An 18,464-nucleotide genomic window follows, 5' to 3' on the forward strand; every position below is an offset into this window, starting at 1 on the left:
ATGGTTTCTACTGACTGCAGATCACTTTTGTGTGATTGTAAAGTCAAAAAATTGTAAGTCAAACCATTGTAAGTCAAGGACAATCTGTAATTAAAAAGAACCAATGGGTATTCTGGAAGAGAAAACTAAAACATCTAACATTAAAAAAAAGTTGAGAGGCTTAAGAGAAGATTAGAAATGCAAGAAGAAAGAGTGGGGAAACTTTTTAAAAAGAGAGAATTAACCTAATCTGAAGAATGGGAAAAATGAGTTTAAAAAATATGACCAGCGCTCCAGCAACCTTGTATTATTTAAAGTGGTCTAATGTTCATGTAAGTGGAATCCAAGAAGGAAAGGAGAGAAAGAGAGCGGGACAGATAAAACCTTAGAAGAAGGCATAATGATCACATTTTTTACAAATTTGGTGAAAAATATTAACTGACAAATCCCCAAAGAATGGCAAATCCTAAGTAGGATAAATACACAGACAAACACGCCTAAGGACATCATGGCAAAACTGTTGAACACTAAAGCAAAAGAAAAACATCTTAAAAGCAGCTAAATAAAACCAGCATATTAAATATAGGGGACTAACATGAATGATGGCTGACTTCTCGTCAGAAAGAATGAAGGCCAGAAAACAATGGAATTGCAACTTTAAAGCAGAAAAAGAAATTTTCAATGCAAAATTCTATACCCAATGAAAGTCTTTCAAAAATGAGAGTGAAATTTTTTTAAAAACTTGAGAGAATGTGTAGCATTTGAACTGCCCATAAGAAATACTAAAGAACATTATTCAAGCCAAAGGGAAATTGTACCAGATGGAAGCATGTATCCACAGAAAGAAATACAGAGCACACATAATAATAAATATGTGACTAAATATATTTTTAAATACAGATTATTTTTTTACTAGTGTTATTAAAAGGAAAATTATTATCAAAAAATAGTAATGAAGTGTAGTTTTTAACACACATAGAAGTAAGATCTATTATAACAATAGCACAATCAGATGGTCAAATAGAATTATAATTTTGTAAAGTTCTTACATTTGTGAAAAATGAAGTGACACAATGAGTAGATGGTGGTAACTGAAGGATATGTATTGCAGCCCTAGAGCAATTTCTAAAAAGAGTAAAACTCCCAAATAAATAATGAAATAAAATGTGAAAACCCTAGTACAGTTGTTTTACTGATTTTTTGTTATCATTATGGAACTTGTCCCCCAATCTCTATTCTCAACTTCTTCCATTGTAATAGGTTTTTCCACTGGTTAAGTAGCTATCCAGAGAGAAGGCTATATTTCTCAGCCTCCTTCACAGCTTTATGTGACCATGTGACTAAATTATTCCCAATAAGTATAAGAAGACGTGATCCATGTATAACACCTGTGCTCTTTCCTTAAAATATAGTAAAACATGGAAGGCATGGAAGAGTGTTGATAAGAAAAAAATCATCAGCACCCAGATGACTTTGCAGAAGAGCGCCATTATATCAACTTGGACATTTATGCGAAAGAGAAATAAACGTTCCTCTTGTTTAAGTCACTGTTATTTTGTGTTCCTGTTGTACGCAGCCAAACTTGAATTCTAATTAGGACAGTGACTAATTAAACTTATCAGCAAAAGTCAAATATAAGATTTGGAAATAATAGATGCACAGAGCACATATATGTCAACTATTGAATATTGTGCTAAATATATGTCAATATTTTGTGCGAAATATATGTCAACTATAGGATTTGGAAATAATAGATGCACAGCGTGTTCAAATTCATACAACAAACACTAATAAATCACCTAACATGGGCCAGATATATGGGATTAAGCCCTAAAATGCATTGGTGGACAAGATAAAGCTTAAACTTGTCTACACAGGACATGCAGTCTTGAAGTATTTCCCCTCTTTCTTTTCCTAAAAACGTCCTTACACTTGAACTCTTCACTTCCTTACTGATTATTTATTCTTTTTTTTTTTTTTTTTTTTTGATGGAGTCTCGCTCTGTCACCCAGGCTGCAGTGCAGTGGTGCAATCTCGGCTCACTGCAAGCTCCACCTCCTGGGTTCACGCCATTCTCCTGTCTCAGCCTCCCAAGTAGCTGGGACTACAGGCGCCCGCCACCACACCCGGCTAATTTTTTGTATTTTTAGTAGAGATGGGGTTTCACTGGGTTAGCCAGGATGGTCTCGATCTCCTGACCTCGTGATCCACCCGCCTTGGCCTCCCAAAGTGCTGGGATTATAGGCGTGAGCCACCACGCCCAGCCAATTATTTATTCTTTAACTTTCTTCAACCAGATTTTCCTCTGCTTTACTAAATCTATGCTTTTAAAAGTCATTAAAAATAAACCCACCAATGTTATTCTTCCAGCAATAGCAAAGCAGTTCTTATCAGACAGACTACCAGACAGACCCTTCCATAGATGGCAGCTATACCCTTCAGAAGACACCAGCAATCACCACAAACATATAGAAACTGAAAGGGCTTAACATCTGAAGTAAAGGAATACCACTGTGTAAGTTTCTTTTTACCCACAGTCAGGACCTCATCCAGAATACAAGGTGGATAAAACACAGAAAGAAACCAACATCCAACAGGCTTGAAAAGCCAGGGGAAGAATCTGGGACAATATCATCAGCTGAAAGATGAAAGTAGGGAGGAGTCCAGAAGGAAGAGCACCACACAGAAGGAGCAAAATATTCTGCATATAAATGCTGCCTAAATCACTGGATGACCCCTGAACTATACATGTGCAGTGCAGACTCCAAGCAGCCAGCTACGTCTAAAGGGACTGAAAAGAGATTGAACTTTCTGCCCATCACAGTGAGAAGAAAACTGAGTAATAATGATAATATGCTGTGCCAAAATTTGTGGGATGCTGCTAAAGTAGTAATATAAGGAAATAAATAGCTTTAAGTATTTATATTAGAGGAGAAAAAAAGTCTAAAATCAGTGGTATAAGATTCAATGTAAAAATGGTCTATAAAAAGCAAAATAAACAGAGAAAAAAAGAAGAAATATAAGAGAAAAAATCAATGGAATGAAAAAACAATAAAACCAAATGTTTGGGTTTTGAAAATTTAAAAAATAGATAACTGTATAGCTAGGTAATCAAGAAAAAAACAGAGCTATAACACAGATTAACAGTATCAGGATTACAGGAGGTTATATTATTGCAGATCCTATAGGCATTACAGGAATAGCAAGAGATTATTAAGAAGAATTGTTTGCTGATAAGTTTAACAACTTAGATGAAATGGACACATTTCTGGAAAAATACAACTTATCAAAACTGATACAAGATGAAACAGAAAATCCAAATAGCCCAGTATTTATGAAACAAACTGATTTGATTTTTGATAATCTTCTGACAGATAAAGCTTTAGTCCCAATTAGTTTTACTGGTGAATTCTATCAAAACTTGAGGGAAGAAATAATACCAATCCTCCATAAACTCTTTCAGAAAATATAAAAGAAGGGAATATCTTCTGATTTGTTTTGGGGGATATTTTAGCTCAATGTTTGCTGAGACTAGCAAACTAAGGTACTAAAATATACAAAATGTATACAAAAGAAAGAGAGAGAGGACAGAAAGAAAGAAGGAATGGAAGGAAGGAAAAAAGGAAGGAAGGAAGGAAATGAAACTATGGGGAGGGAGGGAGGAAACTATGGGGAGGGAAGGAGGAAACTATGGGGAGGGAAGGAGGAAACTATGGGGAGGGAAGGAGGGAACCATGGGGAGGGAAGGAGGGAGGAAGGAAGGAAGGAAGAAAGGAAGGAAGGAAGGAAGGAAGAAATAATATAGTAAGACAAAGAGAACTACAGCTCAACAGCTCCCTTGAACATAGCTGCAAAAATTCACAGCAAACTTTTAAATAAATAAATAAAATAAAATAAGTAAATAAATAAATAAGTAAATAAAAGCAATATATTAAAAAGATAATGCATTATGTTGGGTTATACTAAGAAGTCAAGGTTGATTTAATATTTGAAAATAAATTAACAGGATACATCATGTTAATACAATTAAAGGTAAAATCAAATGTCTGTTTAAATAAATTAACAAAAATCATTTGATAAAATTGAGCACCAATTAATGTTAAAACTTGCCAAATTAGGATGTTAAGATTTCTCAGTCTGATTTAAAACAAAAACAAAAACTATGACCCTGTACTAAATGCTATGTTACGAGCTTCTTCCCTCCTAAGATACAAACAAGCCTAAGTTGTTTACTGACATTATTTGTATTCTAAATTAGTAGGTATTTCAGCCATTGTAATGAGTCAGGAAAAACAAATGCATAAAGATTTGGAAGAAAAAAGAACAACTATCTCAGTTCACAAGTGGCATGGCTCCTTTAACAGGAAATTCTAAGAAATCTACACACAACTACCATAATCAAAAAGTAAATTTAGCTATGTCATGGGAGATGACCTCAACACACACAAGCCAACTGTGGTTTTATAAACCAGCAATGAACCATTATAAATTTAATTAAAAACTTAATTCCATTTATGATAGCTTAATTAATTATAAAATAGTTGAGAATAAATTTAATAAAATATGTGCAAGAACTCTGCACTGAACACCATTAAACAGAGCTAGAAAAATAAAAGAAGATCCAATAAATGGAGATATCCATGGGACTGGAGACTTGACATTGTTAAGATTAATTCTCTCAAAATTTCCCTATAGCTCCAACTTAATCACAATCTAAATTCCGGCAGGCATTTATGTAAGACTTGATGAGCTGAATCTAAAATTTTTATGAAAATGTAAAGGAACTAGAATAGCCAAAACAATGTTGAAGACAAAGAATAAAATGAAAATATTTAGAATACCTGATTCCAAGTTAGTTTGGTATTGACATAAGAATAGACATACAGATTTGTTGAACAAAATATAGAACTAGACCTACAAATATATGGCCAATTAATATTCATAAAAAATGTCAAGGTAATTCAATGGGGAAACAATATCTATTTGATAAAAGGTTCTAAAATATCCAGATAGTCATACTATGAAATATGAATTTTGATCTCTACTTCATACATTACACAAAATTTAATTTGAAATGGGCAATAGGCCCAAATATAAAACTTAATACTATAAAGCTTCTAGAAAAAAATTGTGAAAAAATATTTTGTGATTTAGGGATGGGCAACATTTTCTTAGAAAGGACATGGAAAGCAATAACTTTAAAAAAAGATAATTTTGACTGCATCAATAGTTCAAATTTCTGCTCATAAAAAGAATCAATGAATAAAATGAATAAGCCATAGGAAAAGAAAAATGGCATTATACAACTGATAACCCCTACAGTAGTGGTAGAAGTTCAACACTTAAAAAAAAAATGAATTTAGAAGAGACAAGCCTTTGAACAAACATGTCATACATGAAGGTAAATGAATAATCAATAAGCAGATGGAAAAGTGCTCAACATCGTTAGCTATCATATCGATATCAATAATATCATACCAATGTAAATGAAAATCACCATGTGATAGAACTCTACAGCCACCAGAATGGCTGAGCTTAACTAATGATATAAAATGTTGATAAGGATAAGGAGCAACTAGAACTCTCATACATTATTGTCATACCTTATTTTTTAAAATTTTTTATTTCCATAGGTTTTTGGGGAACAGGTGGTGTTTGGTTACCTCAGCAAGTTCTTTAGTGGTGATTTGTGAGATTTTTGTGTACCCATCACCTGAGTACTCTATACTGAACCCAATTTGTAGTCTTTTATCCCTCACCCCCTTCCCACCCTTACCCCCTGAGTCCCCAAAGTCCACTGTGTCATTCTTATGCCTTTGCATCCTCATAGCTTAGCTCCCACTTATGAGTGAGAACATACGATGTTTGACTTTCCATTTCTGAGTTACTTCACTTAGAATAATAGTCTTCAGTCCTATCAAGGTTGCTGTGAATACCGTTAACTCATTCCTTTGTATGGCTGAGTAGTATTCCATCATATATATATATACACATTATATATATATATATATATATATATATACACATTATATATATATATATATACACATTATATATATATACACATTATATATATATACACATTATATATATATACATTATATATATATACACATTATATATATACACATTATATATATATACACATTATATATATACACATTATATATATACACATTATATATATATACACATATATATATACACATTATATATATATACACATATATATACACATTATATATATATACACACATTATATATATATACACACACATTATATATATATATATATATATATACACCATATATATATATGTATACCACTTTTTTATGCACTCTGATTGATGGACATTTGGATTGGTTCTACATTTTTGCAACTGGGAATTGTGCTGCTATAAGCATGAGTATGCTAATATCTTTTTCATATAATGACTTCTTTTCCTCTGGGTAGATACTCAGTAGTGGGATTGCTGGATCAAATGGTAGTTCTACTTTCAGCTCTTTAAGGAATCTCCAGGCTGTTTTCCATAGTGGTTCCCACCAGTGGTGTAGAAGTGTTCCCTTTTCACTGCATCCATGCCAACATCTATTTATTTTTATTTTTTTTTTGTTATGGCAATTATTGCCGGGGTAAGCTGGAACTTAATTAAACTAAAGAGCTTTTGCACAACAAAAGGAACAGTCAGCAGCATGAACAGACAACCCACAGAGTGGGAGAAAATCTTCACAATCTATATATCTGACAAAGGACTAATATCCAGAATCTACAATGAACTCAAACAAATTACCAAGAAAAAAACAGAAGATCCCATCAAAAAATGGGCTAAGGACATGAATAGAAAATTATCAACAGAAGATAAACAAATGGCCAACAAACATACGAAAAAATGCTCAACATCGCTAGTGATCAAGGAAATGTAAATCAAAACCACAATGTGATGTTGTACCTTGCTGACAAAAGGGCAGAATAGTCTGGCATTTTCTCATAAAAGTTAAAAAACACAGAACATTCCACACTTGGGTTCATTTGTGTGAGAAATGCAAGCATATGTCCACAAAAGATTTGTGTGTAATTATTCATAGCAATTCATTCACAAGGGTCAAAAATTGGGAGTAGCCCAGGGCTCCATCACCAGCAAAACAGCTAAATAAACTTTAGTATATCCCTACAATAGAATACTATGCAAAAATTTAAAAAGAATAAACTGCTGATACACAGTACAACATGAATGAATCTCAAAAAAAAAAAAAGAAAAAGTAAGCTCAATGAAAGAAACCTTACGCAAAAGAGCACATATTGTATCTTTTCACTGTGTGTTCTAGGACAAGCAAAACAATAGGTAAAAAAGGAATCTTTTAAATTACAGAAAGGGTTATAGTAGGAGAAAGGCAGGACTGACTGGAAAGAGGCATGAAAGAATGTTCTTGGATGATGATATTTGCGTTACACAGCTTTACGCATTTGTGGAAAGTCATCAAATGATACACTTAGATTTATGTATTCTTGGTTTCAGTGTCATTTAAAGTCTTTCTTCTGGATATTTATAATTTACTTAGGATTAATACAAAACCACAATGAAATATCAGCTCGCACCTGTTGGGATGGTTGTTATAAAGAAAAGATAACAAGTGTTGATGAGAATGCAGAGATATTGGAAAACTGGGTAAAGTGTTGACAGGAATGTAAAATGGTGCATTGGCTGTAGAAAACAGGCCAGCAGCTCTTCAAAAAATTTAAAAAGAATTACCTTATGATCCAACGATCCCACTTCCAGGTATATACCTGAAAGAATTGAAATCAAAATGGTGAAGAGATATATACATTCCCACATTCATAGAAGCATTATTCACAGTAGCCAAGATATGAAAATAATCTAATGTCCATTGACAGATGGATGGGTAAAGAAAATGTGCTATACACATACAATGAAAAATTATTAACTCTGAAAAAAGAAGAAAATTCTGCCATATGCATCATCATGGGCAAAATGAAAGGATATTACACGAAGTGAAATAAGCCAGTCACAGAAGGACAAATACTGCATGATTTCACTTATCTGAGGTATCTAAAATATTCTAACTTATAGAAACAGAGAGTAGGATTTTCCTGCTATACAATTTTAGTGGCTTTGTAATACCTAGCGAACATCAGCCAGCTGGGTATTAGTCTGGTTCTCCAGAGAAACCGAATCAATAGAATACACACACATATACATATATATACACACACACACACACTTGTGTGTGTAAAGATATGTGTGTGTAAAGATATATACATATGTATATGTCTATACACGTGTGTATGTGTGCATATATACACACATGTATATGTATATGTATATGCACATGTGTGTATAGGTGTGTATGTATGAGTAAAGATATATATACATATGTATATGTATATACACATGTGTATGTGTGTATATGCACATGTGGGTATATATGTGTGTGTATGTGTGTGTATATATATACACATATGTTAATGTATATATGTGTCTGTGTGTCTGTGTGTGTAAAGAGATTTGCAATTGACAAACTATAGAGCCAATGGCATGAACTCCAGTCCAAGTCTGAGTCTGAAGGCAAAAGATCTATGTCCCAGCTTGAAGACAGACAGAATTCTTTCTTACTCTGCCTTTTATTCTATTCAGGCCTTCATTGGATGGGCTGATACTCTCCCACACTGGGGAGGGCCATCTGCTCTTCTCACTCTACCAATTCAAATGTTAATCTCATCCAAAGACACCCTCACAGACACATTCAGAAATCATGTCTAACCAAGTATCTGGGCACCCCATGGCCCAGCCAAGTTGATGCTGAACCAAGATGAGGCATCACAAGCTCCAAAGCCTGTCTTCCAGGCTGTCCATCATCAGGCTCCACGTTTCCTGGCAGGAGCACTTCTCTTCAGTCCACAGTGTTCTCCAGGCTACACCTGCCTCTACCTGTGCCCTGCTCTGCTCTCCACAGAGGCTCTCCTGAGTCTCCACCCTAGGGAGATTTACCCAGCTCAAAAGACCACGTCTTCTTTATATCTCCAGCCCCACCATCGCCCCGAGACCTGGATTTGCACGTCCCTCTCCTTCTGACATCTCTCTGTAGATGCCTAAGAGGCCTCTCAAACAGCCTTTGGGTCCCTCCAAAGTCTGCTTCTCCCTGGTCTTCCCCACGCTAATTAATAGAGCTGCTGCTAACTCAGGTAGACCAGAAACTTTCCCCATACACTCCCCAACCAGTCCATCAGGAGGGGCAATTGAGTCCACTTGCCAAATTCATCTCTTACCTGACCCCTCTAACCTCTTCAGGGACACCAATCTGCTCCAAGCCACCTCTACCTTCTCTCTAAATCCTTAGGGTAGAAACTCCCTAGTCTTCTTGTCTCCCTGCTTACACCTTCTCTTCCCTCACACACAGCTTATTCTCAGCCAGCAGCTGGAGGGAGCCTTGCAGGACATCACTAAGACCATGCTTGCACTCCAGCACTATGCCTTTTGCCTCATCCAAATGGGAGCCAAACTCTTTGCCATGGTCTAAAAGCCTTCACAGGTCTGGTCCCTGGTGGCCTGTGGATCCCTATCCCTGACCCTCTTCCCCTTGTTGTCTGTGCTCCAGCCACACCTGACTCCTCCCCCACCACATTCCTGCCAGCTACAACCCTCTCTCAGGAGCACCATCTTTGAACCTACCTCTGCTAAGAACTCTCTTGCCTTAAATATCCAAGTGGCTAGCCTCCTGAGGCCCCCCACCACCATCCCTCTCTTCCCCTTTTCTCTGCTTTATTTTTCTACAAAACATCTGCATTAGTCAGGGATCTCCCAGAAGCAGACACCAGGATGAAGTTAAACATGCAGGATTTTCACAGGATTTTATTAGGGAAAATGTCTGTGAAATAAATTGGGAGGGAACCCAAAAAGATGGGGAGAAGATCAAACCTGCATGCAGCTCTGATGCCCATGAAGAAGAGCAGGGGCAAGGTTGGGTGAAAGCCGAGGCTGCCAGGAGGTCTCGGGTAGTTTTGACCAAGCTGCAGGGCGAGTCCTTGAGCCAAGGCCGGCTGTGAAAAGACTCCTGCTGCACTGAGTCCTTGACCTGGGTGCAGACGTAGGCATGGATTTTAAAGGACAGCAGTGGGGATCTGGTCAGCCCTGCTCCCTACATTGGGAGGTGTTTTCTCAGGTGGCCACAGGACCTGGCAATCTACAAACTAGTTATGCTTCTAGCTGCTGTCTCCCTTCTGGAAGGTGAGCAACACAACGGAGCTGCTTTGTTCACTCCTAATCCTATCACCTAGAATAACATCTATCACATAGTACATGCTCAATTAAATGTCTTGCATGAACAAATGAATGAATAGATGATATGGTTTTGCTGTGTCCCCACCCAAATCTCATCTCAAGTTTGTAGTTCCCATAATTCCCATGTGTCATTGGAGGAATCTCAGAGGTAATTGAATCCTGAGGGCAAGTCTTTCCCATGCATTCTCATGACAATGAGTAAGTCTCATGAGATCCGATGGTTTTATAAAGGGGAGTTCCCCTGCACAAATTCTCTTGCCTGCCCCCATACGAGACATGACTTTGCTCCTCCTTTGCCTTCCACCATGATTGTGAAGCCTCCCCAGCAATGTAGAGCTTTGAGTCAATTAAACCTCTTTCCTCCATAAATTACCCACTCTCAGGTCTGTCTTTATTAAAGCAATGTGAGAACAGACTAATACAATGGATAAGTGGATGAATGAATGCATTCATAAGCCCAGAGTGGCTTTCTTTCTTATTTTCTTTGGATACATATAGCTTTTTATACTCTCTCCGTTTCCACACAGAGTTTAACCATTTTTTTATTTCCTTACTCACCTGGATGTGGGTATTGAGGGCTGGACCCTGGCCACATACATTTGGCTCCACCGTGATACCAATTATCTCTCCGAGAGTGAGTCAGCGTCTGCTTGATAAATCTCTGCTGGTCCTCATTTGATCTTCAGGATACCCACGTAATCAGGGGCAGGACTAGGCTGCCCATCTTGCATATAGAAGGCAGAATTCATCGTTATTGATCACCTTCTAAACGCCATCATTTCATACCTTATCTAATGTAACCCCTGATCTCCCTCTATCCCTCACCTCCTTCAATGGTCAAACCAGCTGAAACTGGGGAAGGGACATAGCAGTGCTGAAAGCTGGAGCCTCCAGCCCTTCCCCTGCCGTGGGCACCCTGCACAGAGCACCGCAGCCTGGCATCCACCGGGGCAGCATCTCCACAGAGCTGGAGGTGGGAAAGCTCGTTCACCTGTGAACCATGCTCCTCATGACTCGCCTCTGTCACTCAATTACTGTGAACATCGGAATTGCAAAGGCACACGAATGAACAGGTTAATATGGGGACGGTGGCTTGGATTTCTGCAATGAAAGCTGCTCTGAAAACCTGGCTATGATTATTCATGATTATTAATAATAAAGTTAAGGGAAGTGGAGTGGCAGTACCCAGGACTCTGCAGACTGATGGATTGCCACATCCCTTTGCTATTTGCTAATGCCATTACTCTTAAAGCTTAATCTTCCTGTAACCATTTTTCAATAATCAGGGAAGCTAAATTAAATTAAATGCAACTCTTTGCTATTCGGTCCCAATCTTGCTTACCCTGCGCTTACCGAAGGATATCGACTCGGGGAGTGAGCTCCATACCACCTTCCAATGCTCAGGCTCCCATTCTTCATGTTGCCTCCACCCCCGCATTTCTCCTCCCAATGCACAAATTTTGACCAAATTGGACAAAGCTCATGGATTCTGAAATTCACTCACAGCACCGCAGATCCTGTGCCTCTCGCTGGAATCCTTCCCTTAAGTTAATGCTGACAAAGTCTGAAATGACAGAACCCTCATAAATTACAGCCCACGTTCTATCAAAAATATCAGGATAACAAGAAGTTTTTCCAGATGTGAACCAATGCCTGCTCCTTTTGAGCACTTTGTCACTTTATGCAAGTCTGGTTACAGCAAAGGATTGAGGTAGCCCTTTCAGTGTCATTGTCACAGCCTGAGAGCTGCAGATTTTTTTCTTTTAGTGAAGGATAACCCACATTGAGGTTTGTTTGGGATTAGCTTACTTCTGTACAAACCTTCAGTAGGACGAAAAAAATGGTCAATACCTCATACACATCTGTGGTTGCCATAAGGGGATGTTTTAAAGATAGTACCATACAAAGAGTGTAAAAATAAATTCAGGAGGCTTACGAGCTGTGCATCAGAGACAGTAGCACCATCTGCTTTAAATAACACTTATTTTCCTGAAAAAAAATATGTTCTAAAACTGAATAATGTCCATGTAGTCTAAATATTTGCTTTCCACGAGCATCCTGGGAATGATATGCAAACGTCCCAAGAATTCAGAAGGCAGTGCAAAATATTGAAGTGAAAAGAAAAGTCATTCTACTATGCAGTGTGTTCAATTGCTATGTAAATGTGAGAACATTATTATTTATTGCTCTTTCAGCTCTGACAGTTGGAAATATTGCAGAATCGAAAGACATCTGTTGAGTGTAGCAAGAGTGTCTGCAAAACTGCGATCAGGATTGAACCGTGCTATTTCTGGACCCCTGGGTGCAGGTGCGAAGTCACAGTGAGAAACAAATTGCAATGAGCTCTTTGCAGCCACTTACTTGGCACAAGTGAAATACTCCAAGAGGGTGTTCCAGGAAGTGTAACGTTAACTCTGGCTAACCCTTGGAGTCCACTTCCAACAATTGGATTCAGAAGGTCAGATTCTGGTTGACTAAGCCATTTCATTTTCTGAATCAACCATCAGGCGTCTTTGAGGGTGGGAGTCAACACCACAGGCGTAGGAAAGGACGGACCTGGGCACCAACCTTGGCTCTGTAACTTACTGACTGTGGAGCTTTGGACAAGTTGTATGACTTCTGTAGGTCTCAGTTTCTTCATCTATGGGATGGGGGTCATAACCCTCTCCATGTCGCAGGGTTGTTAAGAGAACAGAATTATCTGATATGCATCAAGTGCTGACAGTCTTGGCGACCAGGACCTCAGTTCTCACACTGCTTTACCAGCTGGCACGAAAGCTCCAATGGGGCCCTAGGGGAGCTTAAATAAAAAATATATCTGAGACATCTTGGCTAACACTCTGAAATTTTTATTGACACACAACGGGGGACATTTGATGGAGAGACATGATTCATTAACTTGTGGCTGCAACCTTTGAATTCTGTCCTGCAGGGTCTCTGGCCCAATTGCTTTGTCTTATCCTTCGATATTTCAAATCTGCCAGGAGCACTTGCCCCAAGCCCCAAACACCAGATTTTAAATATCCTACAGACGCCTTCTCACCTTTCCTAAGCCCACTCAGAGGACCTGGCAACAACACTAAGCAAATCTTAATGAGCATCAAAAAAACACCATTATGCAATGCCTGCCCACTCAAAACCATTCTCGCCAAACGTTCCCCAAGAATGGAGAAAGCGTTCTGTCTCCTAACAATTCACTGCAAGATTCTATTTTAATAAGTCAGATTCATCTGGGATAATTATCCATCATGCCTCAACAGTTAGGTAACATTTATTTAGGAAATGCTTGCTCTGTGCCCAGCATGGTGTTATTATTACTATTCAGGTTATCGGTGTTATTATTAAACCCACTTTATTAATGCTCCCTATAAGTGTACCAGTTAATGCACTGGCCACATAATTGCCAGTGGTGTTTATGGGCTCTTATAGGTCTTGGTTCCTAGGAATAACTTACTTATTCTCATGGTTTCTTTCTTTCTCTCTTTCTCCCTTCCTTCTTTCCTTCCTTCCTTTCTTCCTTCTCTCTCTCTCTCTCTTTTTGAGACAGAGTCTTACTCTGTTGCCCAGGCTGAAATGCAGTGACACCATCTCTGCTGGCTCACTACAGCCTTGACTTCCCTCCCACCTCAACCTTCTGAGTAGCTGGGACAGCAGGCGTGCACCACCATGACCAGCTAATTTTTTGTAGAGATGGGGTTTTGCAATGTTGCCCGGGCTGCTCTTGAACTCCTGAGCTCGAGTGATCCACCTGCTTCGGCCTCCCAAAGTACTGGGATTACAGACGTGAGCCACTGCCCCTGTCTTCATGGTTCTTTAATTGAAAATGACAAAATATCACATCACTATGAGATGCTCAGTAGTGGATTCAAATTCTCGAGAAAGCAGCCATCTGGCTCTGCACTGAGAAAGCACAGTCTAAGTCAGCTTTCTGCTTTCCCCAAATTAAAGGGCACCTGTTAGTCCAAGGGTGCTCAAGGTGGGTGCATGAGCCCAGCATTAACAAGCACCATTTCCAGGGTGCCATGGTGATGCCAGCGAGATAGGGCCAGAGAGCCTGTGAATGGGGGATGCTATAAACCACATTGAGATAAGTCCCTCCCTTCACCCCTCTGGGAGCTGGAGCAGGCAATGTAGAGACAACCAAAGGGGAGCCCTGCCCCGGGCACTGCATTTCCCACTGCAAGGTGGAGGGTTGACAGGGCAGGGGAGCCCCCTTGGCCACGGTGGAGCTGGAGGGAGTACTCTAGGTGTTTCTGGAGCTATAGGGAGATGCCAAGGCTGACAATGGTGTCAAAGAGTGTGGAGAAAAACCTGCTGTTGCAGAAAGACAGGAGGCAGACAGAGCCTCTAGGGACATGAGGCTCAGAGGACAGAAAGATGAGAAGGATCCACGGCTGTGGCAGAGGAAGGGTCCAGGGACTTTTTATGGAAATGCATCAACTAATGGGAAGGAAAAGAACATGCTGGGTGATAGGAAGTGTCTCAGGAGAGAAACCAACAAAAGAGCTGGACTAGAAACAGATGGACACAGACAGCCCCAGAGAGGAGGAGTCAGGGACATGCAGGCACCAGGGCTTGGGTGGGTTCAGATGGGGAGAGTGACTGGCAGGACACAGGGAGGGAGGGAGGGAGGCACAGCATAGCCCTGACAAGCAGACAAAGGAAGCCTCTGGTGAGAGGGCCAACCCTGCAAAGCTGGACCTTCTAGACAAAGGCAGCCCAGATAAGAATGGAATGCCAACCGGAGAAGCGGGAGTGAAAAAGAACTGATGGGACAGCCATGGCTGCCAGGCGCTGTGAGCTTCAATTCGGTGCCATTCAGTGAAGCTGGATGTTTCCCTATTTTAACACTTGATATGACTCTTCGAAGAGCCAATACTTATTCACTGACTTAGTGCAGGCCAGGCACCCAGCACGGACCTATCCATGCATGATCTTGGCCCAATCAACAGGGATTTCAACCAATTTCTACAGCACAAAATGTGGCTCTTTAAGCATCAGGAACAGTGAGTGGAGCAGACAAGGGATGATCTTTTTAGTACAGTCTGCCCCTTGCTGTCAGGACAAACAGGCAAACTCATACCCCCATACGGGCTTTTCTAAACGTTCCCACTTGACTGTAAATGGGAGTACCCTGAGGATATGTGGATCTCCTAACAATTCACTGCAAGATTCTATTTTAATAAGTCAGATTCATCTGGGATAATTATCCATCATGCCTCAACAGTTAGGTAACATTTATTTAGGAAATGCTTGCTCTGTGCCCAGCATGGTGTTATTATTACTATTCAGGTTATCGGTATTATTATTAAACCCACTTTATTAATGATCCCTATAAGTGTACCAGTTAATGCACTGGTTAATGCACAGGAGTTCCAGAAGCAACGCTGCCTGCCAGGCTACGTCATCTGAGATCAGTATCGGCTCTCATTTAATCTTCCAACGACCTTTAAGAAGGTTAATATTAGGATCAGAGAAGTTACAGTCTCTCAGCATCACACAGCTGGTCAGAAACAGAGCTGGGGCATTCCAAAGCCCATGATCTCATCGTTGGACTTACTCACAGATGTTTATCAGATAATGCACCAGTGGGAACCTCTGCCCTCCCGGGTTCAAGCCATTCTCCTGCCTCAGCCTCCCGAGTAGCTGGGACTACAGGCACGCGCCACCATGCCTAGCTGGTTTTTGTATTTTTAGTAGAGATGGGGTTTCACCACGTTGGCCAGGAATGTCTCGATCTCTTGACCTCATGATCCTCTTGCCTCGGCCTCCCAAAGTGCTGGGATTACAGCCGTAACCCACTGCGCCTGGCCTTAAAAAGATTTTTTTTAAGGAACCTATATTTTCTTTTGCACTGGGCTCTACAAATTATAGAGTATCTGCAAAGTATTATATTCTCCACATTCCACAGCTGGGAAGGGGCAGGAAAGCCATGTGAGGAAAGCAAAGGGGGCAGGATGATGAAAGTCATACACCTTGGACTCAGACTCGCGTAAGTTCCTTGAACTTTTAAAAAATTGTGGTAAAATACACATAACATGAAATTCACCGTTGTAATTATTTTAAAATATGTGATTCAGTGGCATTTAATGCATTCAGTATGTTGTGCAACCATCACCACTATCAAGTTCCAGAACATTCTCACCATCCCAATAGCAGACCCTGTACCCACGGGCAGTCAGTTCCCATCACTCCCACCACCCAGGCCCTGGAAACCATTCACCTGCTTTCCGCCTGTGATGGCAAATTTTATGCATCAATTTGACTGAGCTTAGGGATGTCCAGATAGCTGGTAGAACATTATTTCTGGGTGTGTCTGGGAGTGTGTTTCCAGATGAGATTAGCATCTAGTCAGTGGATGAGTAAAAATCTGCCCTCACCAGTGAAGGTGGGCAGCATCCAATCCACTGAGAACCCAGATAGAAGGAAAGGCAAATTCTCCCTCTCTCCCTCTCTCTCCCTCTCTCTCCCTCTCTCTCCCTCTCTCTCCCTCTCTCTCCCTCTCTCTTCCTCTCTCTCCCTCTCTCTCCCTCTCTCTCTTTCCTTGAACTGGGACATCCATCTTCTCTGCCGTTTCACATTAGAGCTCCTGGTTCTTGGAGCTTTGCACTCCATGACTTAAACCAGCTCCTCTACCCTCTCCCCGTCCCTTGGTTCTCAGGCCTTTGGCCTCAGACTCATCTACACCTCCAGCTTTTCTGGATCTCCAGCTTTCAGACAGCCGATTGTGAGACTTCCAAGTCTCCATAATATTCACGATCATGTGAGCCAGTTCCCATAATCAATCTCTCTCTCTCTGTCTCCACACACACAGACAAACACACACATGCACACACACACTTCCCACTGGTTCTGTGGTTCTGTTTCTCCAAAGGAACACGACTGATACACTATCTGTATGGGTTTGCCAATTCTGGATATTTCACTTAAATGGAATTATACGCTGTGGGGCTGTCCTTGAACTTCAAGGTTCACATTTAACTCCTTTGTAAAACATGATAGCGATGCTTAACTCCCAGTGTGGACATGAAAGCTCCACGATAAGCTCCTTAGGCACAGCGTAAACAATGGATAAAGGGTGTTTATCTTACTAGCATTGCTGCATTACCTTTATTATTCTTCTTCTTGCTGTTGTTATTGCTGCTGCTGTTGCTATTGTAATGAAGACGAGAGAACGACAGTGGTGATTGTGATGGGAGCTAGAGGATCCAAGATCACACAATTAGCAACTGCTGAGCCCGAATCCTGGCCTTCAATTCTAATTCTTAATCCTATTGATTCTAATTCTAACTCTTTGTAATCTTCCCAATCATCTGGTTAGGATTTTCAAAGGAGCAAAGATGAGGAGCTGGTGAAGGCAGTGCTGGCAGAGAAAAATTACAAACCAAGGTCGGGAGGAAGAAAAGACAGGACAGGAAGTGGTGGGTGGAGACGAGGCCTGAGCCGCACTGGGCAGGTCAGTTGAAGCCACGTCCTGGGACCTTTAGTGCCTTTCCGTAGGGGCTGGACCACTCTCTGCTTGGGCCTTGCAGCACCCGAGAGGCCTTTGAATAGATATTCACAGGAGCCAGGCTCGCCTCTCTGGAAATATTAGCTGGAAAGAAGGGTTCTGCAGGATAAGAGGAGGCAAGCCGAGCCGATGCAGGTGTCCCTGGGAAGCACTGGGCCCAGGGCACATTCTTTCTCTATCACAGGATCAGTAATTTGTATCATCTTAAAATAACTACAATGCTTTGGCTGGAACCCCACCAGGAGCCTCCAAGCCTTTGCAAACAATGGCTCATTAGGTTTTATCCTTTATCTACCTGTCTGCGGATTAAATGGAACAGGCATGGTTTGATACCTGCCACCGCCTCCCTCCTCCCCCCCCGCCGCTTTCCTCTAGGGCTGAGGGGAGGTAGGGAGCTGGCAGACCACGGAGGATGGTGTCCCACTGCACAGTGGGCCTGGGTCAGCGGCACAGATGCACAGAAGTAAGCCCAGCTGGGTTTACAATGGACAGAAGCCTGGACAAGGGACAATAATACCCTGGCCAGGTGGACCTTGAAATGCTAATAGGTATTCATGACAGTTTTCTAGATGACTCTGGGCAGGAGATCTAGATGTCACTGGACATAAAGATTCTCCTTTTATGCAACCAGCTTTTCTCCTATGGAAGTTCATTCTGACACAGGTTAGACACCTTTA

The 18,464-nt window shown here is 40.5% G+C and overlaps 2 annotated features.

Moving 5' to 3' along the window:
* Positions 16,895-17,492: an enhancer, noted in NCBI's record as "OCT4-NANOG-H3K27ac-H3K4me1 hESC enhancer chr1:5285469-5286066 (GRCh37/hg19 assembly coordinates)". NCBI's record gives its function as "activates a minimal SCP1, AML or CMV promoter by ChIP-STARR-seq in naive H9 embryonic stem cells {active_cell/tissue: H9 hESC(naive)}" and the evidence as "EXISTENCE:reporter gene assay evidence [ECO:0000049][PMID:30033119]".
* Positions 17,493-18,090: an enhancer, noted in NCBI's record as "OCT4-NANOG-H3K27ac-H3K4me1 hESC enhancer chr1:5286067-5286664 (GRCh37/hg19 assembly coordinates)". NCBI's record gives its function as "activates a minimal SCP1, AML or CMV promoter by ChIP-STARR-seq in naive H9 embryonic stem cells {active_cell/tissue: H9 hESC(naive)}" and the evidence as "EXISTENCE:reporter gene assay evidence [ECO:0000049][PMID:30033119]".

The sequence above is a fragment of the Homo sapiens genome, chromosome 1, assembly GCF_000001405.40.
Source record: "Homo sapiens chromosome 1, GRCh38.p14 Primary Assembly".
Taxonomy (NCBI): domain Eukaryota; kingdom Metazoa; phylum Chordata; class Mammalia; order Primates; family Hominidae; genus Homo; species Homo sapiens.